This window comes from Homo sapiens, chromosome 11 (genome assembly GCF_000001405.40).
Source record: "Homo sapiens chromosome 11, GRCh38.p14 Primary Assembly".
NCBI lineage: Eukaryota > Metazoa > Chordata > Mammalia > Primates > Hominidae > Homo > Homo sapiens.
Window position 1 is genome coordinate 32,348,720 of NC_000011.10, and position 18,127 is coordinate 32,366,846.

Sequence of the window (18,127 nt, forward strand, 5' to 3'; positions counted from 1 at the left end):
GAATTGCTGAACTGCTGATGAGAAAGATCCATGAAGAGTTTTTTAATTGGTTTAGTAAGATTACTTCCAGTCAACAATTCTCTAGTTTAGTGGTAGAAGATAGATCTGTTTTCCGTAAAAGTTAAATGCCAGACTTTTGAATCACTCCAAATGAAAATCATTCCCTTAAAGAGCCACTTGCTATCATTTGTTTTACAGCAAAATATAAAGGTTGAGATAGAAACTATTATCACAGAATGGCATGCTGAAGAGGCATGAGTGGTGATAAAAACACAAACAGCTCTTTTTTTTTTTTTTTTTTTTGAGACAGAGTTTTGCTCTTGTTGCCCAGGCTGGAGTGCAGTGCTGCAATCTCAGGTCACCGCAACCTCCGCCTCCCAGGTTCAAGTGATTCTCCTGCCTCAGCCTCCCAAGTAGCTGGGATTACAGGCATGCACCACCATGCCTGGCTAATTTTGTATTTTTAGTAGAGATTATAGGCATGAACCCTTATGACCATTTTGACCATGAGCTGACTGAGGTTCAGTGGGGGAGAAAAAGCTTCAGTGATGAGTAGGAAATGGGTCCAATTGGCCTCCAAACCTATAGCTCAGAGCTGCTTTCTTCATGTTGGAGGCAGAATGGAAAATTAGAAAGAATATCAAGTTTGGAAACAGGACCAGGCTTTCATCTTACAATGATTCACTGAGTTCCTATCATATGCTAGGTCTGTGCCAGGCCATGAGGGAAGAGCAGTAGGTTCCATGGCTCTGGTCCTGACCCTAGTGGAGTTCACAGATTAGCAAGTAGGGATGCCAGTTCAGGAGTCAAGTTAACCAGGGTTAGGCTATGGGTACTTCCTTTGTAATCCTGGGCAAGTTACTTAATTTCTGTAAGATTCAATATCTGCAAGTATGGTTGCAGTTATATATTCCCATTATCCTCATACTAGTATGACCTACAAAATTGGTGCGACAATGTAATCAGATTATCTATGTAAAGTACTAAATACAGTTCCTGATGTATGATAAACACTAAAGAAACAACTCATTTAACAATATGAACAATTAGTAATACAAAGCAATGATTTATATTAATATAATAATTAGAATTATAAATATTAACTAAGAACTAATGTCAACAATTAGTAATAATAAGTATTCCTATTATATTTATTATTAGCATCTAGTGGAGCATTGCACCCCTGAGTAGAGAACAATCTGCAGGATGTTGTCCAGCTGTTTGAAGCTTATTTCCTTATTAATAACTTGGCAATATTAATGGCTATCTCCAGAATTTTATGTAAGCTAGATAAGAAAATGTATGTAAAAGCATTTTTGATAGGGGCTTAATATTTTTATTCCATGAAAGTGGCACCACTCAGAGCCTTCGGTGAACCAAAGTATTACTTTGTTTTGCCTTAAACAGCAAGCCCTTCTAAATTACAACCCTGGGAAATAAAGATGACAGTAAATTATGCAGGCCATCCCCTGGCCTAGGGGACTTAGGGTTAGGGTTCAGGTAGTAAGTCCTAGAGTAAGTGGACATTTAGCCAGGCTGCAGATTGATGAGTGCTGAGAGGAGCTGGTTATTTGATCCCCAGGAAATGTTTCTAGGCTGGGGTCACTGTTGCCAGCCTTTGAATCAATAAGGCAGCACCTTTCAGACCAGAAAGTTCAGTTCAATTTATCAAGTCAAGAGAAGTGAGAGAAGCAACAAGCATGATGAAAGCAGGGCACTCGCTGAGTCTCCAGTCAGCTCCAGTGTAAGAGGGAGGGACCGAGGCAGACTGTCTCCAGTTTTCCAAGGGCTTCCAGAGTTGTTCAAGGCCTTCATTCCCCAGGTGCCCCCCATTCTTCAAGAGCTTCATCATTTTCTAACCTCTCCGGAGAAATGAGTGGCAGACAACAATTTATTCCATAAACCTTTATTGAACATAGACCAGGGCCAAGCACTATTCTAGCCACAGGGAATGATCACTCATGAATCTGTTCAAAAAATAAATTTTGAGCACTTACTCTGTGCCAGACCCTCTGATAAATGAAACAATGAGTGAAACACAGCCCTTCAGTGGTGTTCCTAGTCAAGTAGGGGAGAAAAATAAATCAGCACTTACAGAGTGATGAAAAGAATAAGGGAAGAGTCACAAGGTGCCATCAAAGAACTAAGGAGGGACAAGAGACCTAATCTAGGGTGACTTCTCAGAGGAGGTGATTCTTCAGCCGAAAATTAAGGTGATTCGTCAGCCATATGCAAAGGGAGGAGGAGACCACAAGCAGAGGGAGTAGCATCCTCAGAGGTCTAGGTATGAAACCCACGATATTTTTGCAAAATAAAAAGTAGCTCCATTTGGCCGGGCATGGTAGCTCATGCCTATAATCTCAGCATTTTGGGAGGCTGAGGCGGGCAGATCACCTGAGGTCAGGAATTTGAGACCAGCCTGGCCAATATGGTGAAACCCCATCTCTACTGAAAATACAAAACTTAGCCGGGTGTGGTGGTGGATGCCTATAATCCCAGCTACTCGGGAGGCTGAGGGAGGAGAATCGCTTTAACTCAAGAGGTGAAGATTGCAGTGAGCCAAGATCGTACCACAGCACTCCAGCCTGGGTGACAGAGCAAGACTCTGTCAAAAAAAAAAAAAAAAAAAAAAAAAAAGCTCCATTTGGCTATCATAAAAAAGTACACAGTGGGTACTGGCCAGAAACACAGCTACAAAGGTTGGCCGGAGCCATGTATCACCTACCTGCTCAACTACTCTGCGGTATTCCCAAAACACTCCCAAAGATACTGGCTAGTGGCTCAAGAAAAATGGCAAAGGAAGAACTGTTTGACATAGTAACAGCACCATGCCATATGTCCCACACCTTGGAGCTAAGAAACAACAGAGCTTCCTCCTGGATTCCTACTGTGGACAAGGCTGCTTCCCCAGTCTGAAGGCCAACTTAGCTAGTTTCAGTCCTCCAGAAAGTATCTGTGCCCAATAACCTAGAGGAGGCATACATTGTAAATAGCGACGTAAAAAAGAAACAATCATCCCAATTTGTTCATAACTTAAAACCAAAACACGCCCTTCCGCTCTCTCCCTACTCCCCTCTCTCCCTACTCTCTTCTCCAACATGTCGAATTGGTCTTCTAAATCAGAAATCCCCACAAGTGGGAGATCCCTAGAAGTGGTCTTGCCTCATATCAAGAAAAAGAATCAAATGCACATTTATGTTATGGCATCATATCCTTTGGGTGATTCCCCAATGTGTGTGTTATCTGGCATCCATGAATACCCCCCGGGTTCTCATCTAAAGTACTCCTTTGAGTTGTTTCCAGCAAACCATTACTGAGATTTTCGTACAAGGAGGCATTTGTCACTTGCTGGGTCTGGGGGTGGAGGAGTAGGATGCTTAGTAAGCCAAGCAAAAAGGGGCAGCCAGGGAGGGGCTACTGGACAGAGGCTTCTGGCTTCCCTTACAGAGTGAGAGCAATGGGGGAAAGAGGAAAGACAGATGAGCTGGCTTCAAGACTTGCCCTGGGCGGTACATATGGGTTTCTGTCTCTGTGCTTCACTGAGGTTGGAGTGGCCTAGAGCAGTGCTTCTCAAACTTAACATGCACGTGAGTCACCGGTGGGGCAGGGGGCTGGCTCCAGTGTTCCCTCCCACCCAGTACATCTCGGTTGAGCCTTGAGGTCTGCATTTCTAAAAAGCTCCCAAATGATGCCGTGTTCATTGTCTACTGCTGCGTAATGAATTACCTCCAAAACTTAGCAGCATAAAACAACAAACATTTATTCTATCACGCAGTTTCTGAGGGTTGGGAATCTGGAAGCAGTTTGTCTGGATGATTCTGGCTCGGGCTTTCTTGGGACATGACAGGCAAGCTGTCAGCCAGACCACGGGCTCTGAAGGGGCTGCACTCTCCAGTCTCCCTGCACTGCTATTGGCAGTAGGCTGGAGCTCCTTGCTGTGTGGGCCTCTCCAAAGGGCTGCCCATATCATGGCTCTTGCTAAGATGGAAGCTGTAGCCTTTTTACACATAATCCCAGAAGCGACATGTTATCACTTCCACTGCATTCTATTCATCAGAAGGGAGTCATGAACTCCAGCCCACACTGAAGGGGAGAGAAACTAAGCCCCATCCCTTGAAAGGAAGAAAATCAACAAATGTATGGATGTATTTTTAAAATCATCACAGACACCATTGCTGCTAGTCCTTAGCCCACATCTGGGCTGCCTGGAGAGACAAGGGTTTAGAGTACAGTGTCCAAAATCATCCTGCTGGGGCTGGAGTAAAGGCAATGACACTTGCTAGAACGTCATTTAGCCAGACCGGGGGCGGGGGCTCACGCCTGTGATCCCAGCACTTCGGGAGGCCGAGGAGGGCAGATCACCTGAGGTCAGGAGTTCGGGACCAGCCACATGGTGAAACCCTGTCTCTACTGAAAATACAAAAATTAGCCAGGCGTGGTGGCGCATGCCTGTAATCCCAGCTACTCAGGAGGCTGAGGCAGGAGAATTGCTTGAACCCGGGAGGCGGAGGTTGCAGTGAGCTGAGATCTCACCACCGCACTTCAACCTGGGCAACAGAGCGAGACTCTGTCTCAAAAAAAAAGAAAAAAAGAAAGTCATTTAGCCTCTCGGTACCTCATCTGAAAAATGAGAATAACAATGATCCTATCAAGCAAGGTTGTTGCCTTAGGAAATAATACATAGAAACCACTCAGCACAGTACCTGGCAGGTAGAAGTAGCCAATGAATCGTCATTATTATTGTTATTATCAGAGAAGCTAACCCATTTCTCAGTGGCAGCCCCAGGAGTTCCAGGCTCTGCCCTCTTGGCTCTTAGGTCCCAGTCCTGCTCATGCAGTTGTCATCTACCCCCTAAAGCAGAAAAGTGTGTACCAAATTGTTCCAGAATTCCAGAGACACCCTACCTTCTCACCATTCTCCAGCCTCCTACACAGAGGCTGGGTAGATGGGTGGAGGTGAGGGTATCGATGGCTAGATAGCATGAAACCAGTCTTTGAGATGTGGCACAGACAGTTTGTAGGTGGTTGGAGTGTCATCTTGGAATGAGATCCATGAATCAGAATCTCTGGCAATGGAGTCTGATCATCCGCATTTATAACTTGCTCTCCGGATCATTCTTAGGCACACTAGAGTTTGAACAGCACTGCAGACAGATGCAAGAGATTTATTTATTCACCTACCTCCCCCCCTCACCTCCCAAAAGAATGGAAGGCTTGACTTTGAGTTCCTGAGAACAATAATGAGCTGTCCTCCTGGGGCCCTGTCTGAGGCCAGAGCTGGACTGGCCCTGGGGTTGACCCGGGGCAGAACTTCTGTCCTGGTGACTAATGATCCAGTACGGCCCAGCCTGGCTGTGGTTTGTCTACAGGCCCCGTGACAGGCCTATCCACCCAGATAACCACGATCTTGCTTTGTGGGATCAAATACTGGTTCAGGATTTATGAGTCCAAGTAACGACATGGCTGCGCTAGAGAGGGGGTGGGGTGGGAGCTGGGGGTGGGGCAGCACTTCTTCTCCCTCTGGAGCCTTGGCTGCCTTACCTAGCTTCAGGCTGCAGGTCAGGCCAAGAGGACAGGCTGCTGACTGCTTTGGGTAAGAACAGGGTCAGGGTACCAATGAACAGCATAGCAGCTGCTTCGTGTCTCCACGCAACCTCTCCCACTGTGTCACAGGGTGAAATCACTGCATGGTACACCCTGGTGCATTTTGTCATCCTAAAACCCAGGATGAGGTTAAAAATAAAAAAGCATCATTCTCCCACTACACAATTAGGGAATGGAAAAGATGTTTGTCATTGTTATCCCCTTAACAACTAGAGTTAATGGCTCGCTTAGGGCTGAGATGCTGCAGTCCTGAGTTGCAACTTCCAAATAGGCACCTTACTATGTTTGTCCTTTATAAACTTGGGACTGTGGCTCATGGTAAGACACAGCTTTTGGAGATCAGAAAGCATGGGCAAACTCTCATCTGAGTTTGGTGTTCAGGGCAACATTCATTCCGTTCATTCATTCATTCATTTAACTGAATTTGATTAAGTACAATTTGCCACACACCTGTTAGGCAACGGAAGATACAGCAACAACCAGGACCAATGATAGAGCTTACATTCTAAGGGATGCCTGTGGATACAAGTAATAAACAAGGAAACATGCAAATTAACACGATAATTTCCAGTCGTGATAAAGCAGGGCTGGAGGTATTTGCTAAGCGTGTTTTAAACTCATTGGCCTGTAGTATGGTTGGAGGAAGAAAGGAATTAGAAACTGATCTGCAACACAGACTTTAAATTCCTCTTGTCCTTCCTTCTTCTAAAATCATCCTGACTAGGGATGATTTTTCGCTCTATTTTTGCTCCATTTTGTTTGGATGGAACATCATGCAGACTTACAGCACAGGGATCCCAATAATAGCACAGTTGTTACTACAGAGATTTGTCCAGGTCAGATTTTATTGCTTTTGGCCCAAAGCTGCTACAAAATTTACAGAGCAAAGAGAGGTACAGTGTGGTCTACTGAGCAAGTTACTGAGTTAACTTGAGTTTCTGTGCTTGAACTTACTTAGCATTTAAAGGCAATTTCATAAAAGTCATCATTAGACTAATATATCACAGTAGCAATTCAACAATGATGTCTAAAAGTATTACCTGTGATTTTAGAGCAGCCAGTATAAAAAAGCCTTGCGCACATGGTTGGGGTGTTTTTGCTTATACATTTTGGGGGTGAGTCCTCTGAGACCTGTGGAACACCGTGAACCCTGGAAAATGCAAACATGTGTATTCACATAAAATTTCACGGTCCTGAACTCCTGAAGTCCATCCATGGTTCCCCCGGGGATTCATGTACCCCACTTTCCTGCTCTAAAATTTATATTTATGAAAAGATACCCAATATATTTTAAGTGAAGAAAATTAATTGCAGACAGTACATATAACAAGATTCCATTTTTCTTTTAAATGTTATATATAAATGAGCACTCAGTGTCTGAGGGTAGAGGATCAACTGAAAGGATTACTTTTACCTTGTATTCTATAGACTTCATTTAGAATTATTTTATCTAGCAAACAGTTTTTTTTTTTTTTTTTTTTTGAGTCAGAGTTTCACTCTTGTTGCCCAGGCTGGAGTGCAATGGTGCAATCTTGGCTCACTGAAACCTCCACCTTCCGGGTTCAAGCGATTCTCCTGCCTCAGCTTCCTAAGTAGTTGGGATTACAGGCATGCGCCACCACACCCGGCTAATTTTGTATTTTTAGTAGAGACGGGATTTCTCCATGTTGTTAGGCTGGTCTCAAACTCCTGACCTCAGGTGATCTGCCCGCCTCGGCTTCCCAAAGTGCTGGGATTACAGGCATGAGCCACTGTACCTGGCCCAAACACATTATTTTTATAATAGTTTTTTTTTAAAATGAAGCTAGAAATCATGGCCATGTCTGAATCAGACAATGTGGTTGCCATTCCTGGGCAATTGATGTGGATTGAGAACCAGTACTGGATTGAGAGCCTGTGTGGGTTAGAATATAAGGGGCAGAATATGAGGTCATTTGGGAGGTCTAGCTCAGGATATTTTAGATATAGGGTTGCTGGATTTAGAAGAGTTCAAGTAGGTGGCAGTGGAATAATTTGGAAATGTATTTCTGATAAAATACGTCTAAAATAAAGAAAGAGCAAATTGGTCATGTAGAATGGCCTCCTCAGTTCATTTGTGGTTAACTTGGAACCTGTGCTATAACATAATGCATTTTTATCCAAGATCTCTGCTTTTAGAGATCGTAGCCTATGGTGGGTCCTCATGTGAAAGAAATAGAGCTGAAACAGGAAAGGGTAGTGATAAACCCAGCTTCCACACTTCCATGGCTAGGTATAGTTCCAGGAAGTCTTAGGCTTGTGGGTATTTGATCCTGCATGCATGATTCTTAGTAGGAAGGTATAGAAATCAGATATATCATGTTCCAAATCATGACCGTCTTCCCATCTGACCCAGAGCTGCTTCCTGCTAAGGTGGCAGTAGACCTTGTGAAAGTTCTAAATAGGGCACTTTGCATTCAGAAATCACACACTGCTTTAGGGGTGGGTTTTTACAAAACCATACAGCTTAACACATCACACAGTGCATTAAAGGGAGCTCAGCCATGCAAGGAAAAAAGAGACCAGGACTTCTTCTGAATTAAGTCCTGGTCTGTCTTTGCTGCTTTCCTCCCACCATGAAACCATGAGCTGTGGAGAGCAGGCCTGCGCCAGCTTCTGCTCCATTTCTGCCTGGATCTGGGGAACGGAGGCCAGTGACATTTACTGGCGTCACTCCACCTACTGTGCACATGGCCCATCCTTTGGCACTAGAGCCGGACAGGGGTTTATTCAACGCACTTCAAAATGGCTATTCCAGAGGAGGCAGGAGAATGAAGCGATCAAGTTCACTATTATTGGTGTGATTTCAGTGTTGCAGGCAGAGCTGCTGCAAGAGGGGTATTATCTCTGCAAAGATCTACCTGACTTCTATGGGCGAGGGTGATACTTTTGTCTCACTGCCAGGGAGTAAAGGCATTTATGGAGTTAAGATCATTCTGATCTTTCCTATCTTCCATTCCCAGTCTCTCCTTGGGACCAAGGCTGTCAGAGGGACAATCCATGATATTGACAGTCCATGATGTCATTATTACCAGCTACGACTGCTACCACCTTCTATTCATAGAGTACTTTCCAGCCTACACAGCACAGCCACATGTGTCATGAATTAGTTATCTAATGTGACCCTCACAATACATCAGTGAGGTCCAGATGAGTGTCCCCACTTGACAAATTAGGAAACTGAGGCTTGGAGCGGGTAAGAAATTTCTCGCAAGTCTGCTCACCTCATTGGTGGAGAAGAAGATACTTGGAACCAGGTCTTCTGACCCCAAGTCCAGTGCTCTGTCCCCTCTTTCCCCTGGCTGAGATCAGAAAAGTGGCCACAAACAAAGCACAGTCCAGCATTGAACCAGAAACTGTCCCTGAGCATGAGCTGTGTTTGTCCTGGGCATAGCAAAAAAAGCATTCCTTTGCCCCCCAAAACAAAGATAACCATAGCCAGTTAGCATGTTCTTAGTTCTTATGCTATGCCAGGTACTGCTCTAAACACTTCACAGCTATGACCCCTCCTAATCCTTACAACTACTAAGTAGAAGTTACCATTATTTTCTTCATGTTATAAATGAGGAAACTGAGACTCAGAGACATCAAGTGATTTGTCCACAATCACAGACAAAAAGTGACAGTGCTGGGATTACATCCAGGCCCTGGGACTGCGGAGGTCTGGACTGCTAACCACCACACGTGTCCCCTTCTCCCAGTGGGCGTGTTCATCATTTATTTATCAAGAAACCCACCCCTGATCCTGACGCCCTCAGGACCTTCGCTTGGTAGCAGGTTACTTGACTGAATCAGGCTGAATAGTTCTACTTCATCTGTTAACACTCCTTCAGCCATGGTGCATTAGGGGCCTAAGAGCCCTTAAACCAGCAACACAAAATCCCCTATTTCTGCAAAATTGCTCTTTCAGATGGCAGTCAAACTCCATGAGGACACAGAGACAGATTCCTCAAACAGAGCCTCACTCGGCAGCGTAATTAATAAATGTCTTGAAGAGGGTCAGGGGAAAAGATTTGCTGCCGTTTTGCTGGGCATCTGGGGAGCGAAACACAAGCAATTAATATACATTTTTTATTTCCACTTATTGCCTTCGTCAAGTACTTTCATATTCCATAGGCCAGATGGATTAGTCAGGGTTTTTTTTAGTAGTTCTATGTTTCAATGAAATAACACTCTCCCTTCTCATCTCCACCAAGTAATAAGAAAAACCACATAAAAAGAAAAAGAAAAGGCAAAAACCTAAATCTCTGTGTTGACAAATGCCATGGAAAAAGTTTTCTTTTTTTCCAGTAAGTGCTTGTAATTGTGTTTTGGCACATTTTTTTCCCTAAAGGAACTAACCCCACAGTTAATACCATTTGGGGGAGAGAAATAAACTTGCAATGGATTGCCCCCACAAAAATGTGCTGATAGTGAAGGCAGGATTTGAGATTTTGGAGAGAGAAGGTCTGTGCCAGAAACAGAGAACAAGCCCTGCAGCCTGTGACCTGGAAGTCTCAGCCCTTCAAGTGCTGGAGTTCAGCGTCGGGTTTTGGCGTTCTCCTTGGAGACGCCTATTGATAGCTGGTGTCTCTGCGGATACAACTTGAGCTAATTCCCGGGATAATGACCCGGCCGCCCATGATTTACTAACTTCACCGCTGTGCAGCCGCTCCGTCAGGGCTGGTTAATCCTTTAATGGTCCCTGCAGTGTGTCCAGGACTGCTCCAAAAATTCCAACGCCCTCCCTGGAACACTGAGGGGTATTGAATGCCCCTTCCCCTCCCCTCCACATCTCCCCACCCCCGGCCCTTATCTTATCAGGTAGCTAATTCCCACAAATTATTGTGTGGTTAAGGCAGAAAAATGAAATTGCTCTCAAATCATAAATTTGTCACTTTTGCAGACAGCTGCTAAGTCAAGAAAATCTTGACCAAGTGGGGCTTAGTCACTGTTCTGAACAATTAAGACCTATAAGCGTATTTGGCTGTCTCTCAAAGCAATGTTTATTGATGGAAGGGAAGAAAACAGTTTATATAGAGATTTAACTCTATCCACTCTTAAGTGGAGTGTAATCCTTCATTGAGGAGAATGTGACTATCAACACACTGTGTCTGACAAAATGTCTCTATGGCCCATAGCACTTTATTCACTGTGGCCATCCTTGAGCTCAGTGGCTGCCTTTAGGTGGGGAACACGTAAGTTTCCTAAATCTAGTCTCACTCAGAGCTGAAAGTCAAAAGGTGGAAACAATCAAATGTCCATTAATCAACGAATGGATAAACAAAATGTGGTATATCCACACAATAGCATATTATGCAGCCTTAAAAAGGAATTATATCCTCATGCATGCTGTAACATGGGTGAAACTCAAACACATGCTAAGTGAAAGAAGCCAGAACTACCAGGGCTTCAGAGGGTCTACAGCCCACAGGATCCCTCAGAGAGGATATTGAGGAACTTCTCTTTTAAATTATATATCCAGGCCAGGTGCGGTGGCTCACGCCTGTAATCCCAGCACTTTGGGAGGCTGAGAAGGGTGGACCACCTGAGGTCAGGAGTCCGAGACCAGCCTGGCCAACATGGCAAAACCTCATCTCTACTAAAAAAAAGTACAAAAAATAGCCAGTTGTGATGGCACACACCTGTAGTCCCAGCTACTTGGGAGGCTGAGGCAGGAGAATTGCTTGAACTCAGGAGGTAGAGGTTGCAGTGAGCCAAGATCGTGCCACTGCACTACAGCCTGGGTGACAGAGCGAGACTTCACCTCAAAAAAAAAATATGTATATCCAGAATTCTCCTGCATCCCATCACCTCCACCACTATCAGCCTGTTCAAGCTGCCATCATCTTTCACTTGGACTATTGCAGGAGCTTCTTCACTGCTCTCCTGTTTTTGCCTTGGCCTCAATTCTGTCTATTCGCCACACAGCAGCCCAAAGGATCCTTTAAATTTTTTTTATTGCGGTAAAATTCACATACCATAAAATTAAAATGTTTAAGTGTACAATACAGTGGCTTTTAGTGCATTCTTAATTAGTGCAACCATCACCTCTATCTAATTCCAAAACATTTTCATGATTCTGAAAGGAAACCCATACCCAGTAAGCAGCCAGTCTCCACTCTGCCTTTCCCCAGCCCCTGGCAACCATTAATCTTCTTTCTGTCTCTATGGATTTGCTTATTCAGGATATTTCATTTAAATGGAATCATACCATATGTGACCTTTGTGTCTAACTTCTTTCACTTAGCGTGTTTTTGAGTTTCACCCATGTTATAGCACATATCAATATAGTATCAGTACATAATTCCTTTTTGGCAGAATAATATTCTGCTGTGTGGATAAGCCACATTTTGCTTATCCGTTCATTGGTTGATGGACATTTATTGTTTCCATCTTTTGACAGCTGTGAACAGTGCTGCTGTGAATATTCTTTTATAGGTTTTTTAATCAATACCTGTTTTCAGTTCTTTTGGGTGTATAACTAGGAGTGGAATTGCTGGGTCCTGATCCTTTTAATTTTTTATTGATATGTAATGTTTTATACATTTACGGGACACATGATATTTCGTTACATGCATAGAATGTGTAATGATCAAGTCAGGGTATTTGGGGTATCCATCAAGATGTTAGATTTAAAACATTTGCTGTGGTATGGGTAATTAAAAGATTATAGGGCCAGGCATGGTGGCTCACGCCTGTAATCCCAGCACATTGGGAGGCTGAGGCGGGAGGATCATGAGGTCAGGAGATCGAGACCATCCTGGCTAACACAGTGAAATCCCATCTCTACTAAAAATACAAAAAATTAGCCAGGTGTGGTGGTGGGCGCCTGTAGTCCCAGCTACTCGGGAGGCTGAGGCAGGAGAATGGTGTGAACCTGGGAGGCGGAGCTTGCAGTGAGCCAAGATCATGCCACTGCACTTCAGCCTGGGCTACAGAGCGGAGACTCCATCTCAAAAAAAAAAACAAAAAAAGATTATACTCATATGTATTATATATGATTATATATTATATGATTATATATAATTAAAAGATTAGATATAGATTATATAATATATATAAGATTATATATAAAAGATTATATATACATATATATATATATTTTTTTTTTTTTTGAGACAGAGCCTTGCTCTGTCACCCAGGCTGTAGTGCATTGGCACAATCTCAGCTCACTGCAACCACTGCCTCCCAGGTTCAAGCGATTCTCCTGCCTCAGCCTCCCAAGTAGCTGGGATTACAGGCATACACCACTGCACCCAGCTAATTTTTGTATTTTTAGTAGAGACGAGGTTTCACCATATTGACCACGCTGGTCTCAAACTCCTGACCTCAAGTGATCTGCCTACCTTAAGTGCTGAGATTACAGGCATCAACCACCCTGGCTGGCCAAAATATATTTTCCTAACTTCCACAGTTAAGAAAGAGTTTTCAGTTGTAGCAGGACAGTGGCCGAAGTTGTAACAGAGTTGACTTTTGCAGGAAAGTGAAAGTAACAAGTACAGAGGGCAAGCCATGGGATCCCTCATTCATTCAAGTGATACATGCAGTGGGTTTGAATTTCAAGAGCACAAGAAATACCTCTTTATTTTCCTAAAATGAGACTGAATTTCTGTGTCAAACTCCCATGTCACTGAGATCTTGTCTCAGTCAAGGTTAAAGGTTCTAGTGTAAGTTTCAGAAGACTCATGTACTGCCACGCCCTGGAAGGTGGTCTTCCTGAAGTTCCAGTGATCTGTGCACACAGGTATTTCTAAGATGTCTGGCTGGCCCCTTCAGGCCTGGAGGGCACCAGACATTCAGCTGGGCTATCTGTGGCGCTCTATGACCCTGCCTACCTAAAACATATCACTCAGCCACCCCCAGCCCCTCCCACCAGGGGTGTTGCCATCTTCCTTCTCAAGCCATATTTTCTTTTCCCACCTCCTCCTGCTTAAAGGAATCTTTTCCTTGTCTTCAAGAGAAATCCCTTCTTCTTTTAAATCTCGGGTATTTCTTCTCAGGGCCATTTTCTCTCTATTATCTTCCATCAATCAGTGGCAAATACAACCACAAATATACATAATAACTCAAAGAGAGGGCCGGGCACGGTGGCTCACACCTGTAATCCCAGTACTTTGGGAGGCCAAGGCAGGTGGATCACAAGGTCAAGAGATCAATACCGTCCTGGCCAACATGCTTAAACCCCATCCCTACTAAAAATACAAAAATTAGCCAGGTGTGGTGGCATGCACCTGTAATCCCAACTACTCAGGAGGCTGAGGCAGGAGAATCGCTTGAACCTGGGAGGTGGAGATTGTAGTGAGCCCAGTTCGCACCACTGCACTCCAACCTGGCAACAGAGCGAGACTCCATCAAAACAACAACAACAACAACAAAACAAAGCAAAAAAGCAAAAACAAAACAAACAAAAAAGAAACTTCAAAGAGAGACCAGCTGGCCATTTCTTGTAATCACACCACTCCACTGAGGAAGAGAACCCCAGGACTCACTGCTAGAGTAGGGAGGTGGGGAGCAAAATGCTAGGAGAAAAAGAGAGGTTAATATTTCAAAGATGGTACCCTATCGCATATTATTGAGCACATGCTATGGAGCAGTCACTGTTCTGGATGCTAAGGATATAGAGATGGATGCAATCTACACAGGGGATGAATTTGTTTCCAATTGTTGCTATAAAAAATTACCTTGTGGATTAAAACAACACAAATTTCTTATAGTTTTGGAGATCAGCAGTCCAAAATGGTTCTCACTGGGCTAAAATCGAGGTATCAACAGGGCCACTTTCCTTTCGGAAGATCTAGGGGATGATGCATTTTCACACCTTCTCCAGCTGCCCACATTTCTTGGCTCGTGGCCTGTATCACTCCGAGCTTTGCTTCCTCCATCACATCTCCTTCTCTGATCCTCATGCTCCTGCTCCCCACTCTCTGCTTTATAAGGACCCTTATTACATTTAGAGTCCACCTCCAGAATCCAGGAAAATCTCCCAATCTTAAAATCCTTAGCTTAATCACATCAGCAAAGTCCCCTTTGCCTTGTATCCTGGGTTCTAGGGATTAGGACATGGACATCTGTGGGAAGACATTAATCTGCCTACTACAGGGGATTTGTCTAGAGGTGCTGTGGTAAGCCCTACCACAGGAGAAATGTAGGGTGTATGAGAGTTTGCAGGAATGCCAGATTTGGCGATCAGGAAAAGCTCCTCTGTTTAGTCTGAGACCTGGAGGATGAATAAGAAGGATTTGGGAGGCCGGGTGTGGTGGCTCATGCTTGTAATCCCAGCTACTTGGGAGGCTGAGGCAGGAGAATCACTTGAACCCAAGAGGTGAGGTTGCAGTGAGCTGAGATCGAGCCACTGCATTCCAGCCTGGGCGACAGAGCAAGCCTCTGCCTCAAAAAAAAAAAAAAAAAAAAAAGAAGGATTTGGGAGACATGAGGAAGAGGAAGTTATACTGAAAGAATTCAGATAGTTTAGAACAAAGGCTTAAAAGTCACAGAGAATGAAGTAGATCTTTGGAGCTGGGAGTCACTGAGCAAGTTGTTACAAGGCTGCAAGGTAAGGACCAGGCATGAAAGGCCTGGGAAGCCCTGGGAAGTTTAGGCTTTAACCTAAGGGCAAAGGGTGGCAAGGTGAGATGGAAAAGTCACTTGGCTCCTATGCCAGTCCAGATTGAAGGGCTGGTGATGGAGAGAATAGCCAGGAGGTATGATAGTAATCCAGAGACAGATGCTGGGACTAGGAGGGCTGGGGACAGGTGGAGGCATGAGGAGAGATTGAGATTTATTTATTTGTTTTATTATTATTATTCTTTGAGACACAGTCTCCCTCTGTCGCCCAGGCTGGAGTGCAGTGGCACTATCTCAGCTCACTGCAACCTCTGCCTCCCTGGTTGGAGCAATTCTTATGCCTCAGCCTCCTGAGTAATCCTCAGCTGGGATTACAGGCGTGCGTCACCATGCCCGGCTAATTTTTTTGTATTTTTAATAGAGATGGGGTTTCACCATGTTTCCCAGGCTGGTCTCAAACTCCTGGGCTCAAGTGATCCACCTGCCTTGGCCTCCCAAAGTGCGGGGATTACAGGCGTGAGCCACTGCACCCAGATGAGATTGAGACTTAGATTTAGGACTGTCAGGGGTCGGCAGTTGGCTGGATGTTGGGTGAGGATTACAGAAGGAGGAGTCCCAGGTTTCTGGCTTGAGCTACATGGGGAAGAAGGCCATGGTTCCTGTTTTGAACATGTTGTCTTGGTGCCTAGGAGAGATCGGAGTGGACTGCCTAGGAAACAGCTGGCTGCAGCTCTGTCTTGGGGTCTGGTGAGGATTAAACAAATGAAGTATGGAAAGCACTTAGCCCAGTGGCTGGCACATAGTCCGTACTTAATAAATATGAAATATTATTATTATGTATTAGTTTTATATTCAGGTCTGTGCTGTACCTTATCAAATTATGCCCTGAGAGCCATTTGGAGCAAAATAAAAAGAAGGCAAGTAAATGACAAGAGAGCAAGGAAAAGGGTGGTTCTGTAGCTGCACACGTATCTGTGTTCTCACGAGAGTCCCACAGGCTAACAGGGAAAGGATGGGGCAGGGCTTGCCTGTTAAAGTGGAGGCATCAGTTAGCATGAACCAAATACAGATGGGGAAAATAACTACCCTGAGTCTGCTCACTCCTGCAATTCTAGGATCAGACATCCCAGGTGAGGAGTCCCCATGAAGCGGCATCGTTTGTCTGGGGTAATACCTGAGGTTGGTTGCCTCATGCCAAGGAAATCAAGGACACGGACACACGTGGAGTGAAGATTAAGAATGGAGGTTTAATAGGCGAAATTAAGAAAAAAGAGAAATAGCTCTCCCTTCTGCAGAGAGAGAGGAGATCCCGAGGGGGTCTTCTGGTTTGGTGGTGAAATGCACAGGGTTTTATAGTCTGGTTTGCGGAGGCTGTGTCTGACTTACATAGGGCCCAAAGATTGGTTGGACCAGGCATGACATTTATACAGCCCGTGAAGAAGTTGGCCACCCCACCCTAATCTTTTGTTATGCAAATGAGTTTTTTTAACTGGCCAGCACCACATTGTCAGCTCCTTACTGTACACATGGTTGATAAAGGAAAGGGAAGATGGAGCCTCCATGTTGGACATGTCTAGCCCCCAGGTAGCCTTTTCCTATTGTCACAGCTGCAGGCATTCACCTCTGCAAGCTTCCGACTTGCTTATCTATGTTTGCAGCTCAATTTTACAGGCTGCTTTTTGTTAGAAAAGAAATGATTTGGCCGGGCGCAGTGGCTCATGCCTGTAATCCCAGCACTTTGGGAGGCCGAGGCAGGCGGATCACCTGAGGTCAGGAGTTCAAGGCCCTGTCTCTCTACTAAAAATACAAAAATTAGCCGGGCGTGGGGGCCGGCACCTGTAATTCCAGCTACTTGGAGGCTGAGGCAGGAGAATCGCTTGAATCCGGAAGGCGGAGGTTGCAGTGAGCCGAGATGGCGCCACTGCACTTCAGTCTAGGCAACAAGAGCGAAACTCCGTCTCAAAAAAAAAAAAAAAAAAACACTGGGGGGCTGCTCTTTATGAAAAGGGAAACCTTACCAAGGACTTCCTTATCCTCACTATCTGTCTAAATAATTTCTTCTTAACTCCTGTATCACCCAGATATCTCCGTGAGGAGTCAGGAGGGAAATTTGGGCTGATTGCTGGGTGTTTTTGTTTTTGTTTGTTTTTGGTTTTTTTTGAGACGGAGTCTCGGGCAGCTACCCAGGCTGGAGTGCAGTGGTGCAATCTCGGCTCACTGCAAGCTCCGCCTCCTGGGTTCACGCCATTCTTCTGCCTCAGCCTCCGGAGTAGCAGGGACTACAGGCATCCGCCACCACGCCTGGCTAATTTTTTGTGTTTTTAGTAGAGACGGGGTTTCACCGTGTTAGCCAAGATGGTCTCTATCTACTGACCTCGTGATCCGCCCCCCTCAGCCTCCCAAAGTGCTGGAATTACAGGCATGAGCCACCGACCCCGGCCCAGGCTGGTTTGTTTTTAATGAGAGGCTGGGTGGCTGTTAGGGAGGGGGACGTCCTTTCTCGTCAATATCAACAATGTCAGCAACATCAGCAATGAACTGATTTTTCTCTTCACTCTGATTTCAACCCTAGTATTGCCATCAAAGAGAATCCTCCGTCTGCACAACTGCAAACACGGGCCTTAAAAGAAGGCTGGGGCAATTTCTCCAAGTGGTTTCATATTAGTACTTGCCCCTTAGAGAGAAGAATTGATTTTCCTGGGCAAAGTAACATTTGGTAGAAGGAAAAGTTTTATGATTTATGATGCACCAGAGACCATATATTTCCCTTAAATATTATCATTATGGTCATAGCACTTCAAAAGAGAAAAATGGAATTCAAGGAACATTAACTTCTAAATATTTACGGCATTTCAAATCCCTGTCCAGTCTTCATTGTCACTAGGATAACTTTGAGAAGTTGTGAGCACATAGACAATGCAATGAAAAATAGCCAGAATCCAGCTGAGTGTTGTGTTCA

General features: G+C 44.6%; 1 annotated feature.

The window, feature by feature from the left end:
* Positions 9,909–10,130: a silencer, noted in NCBI's record as "fragment chr11:32380174-32380395 (GRCh37/hg19 assembly coordinates)". NCBI's record gives its function as "represses an EF-1alpha promoter that drives an FKBP-Casp9 reporter gene in an ReSE screen in K562 erythroleukemia cells {active_cell/tissue: K562}" and the evidence as "EXISTENCE:reporter gene assay evidence [ECO:0000049][PMID:32094911]".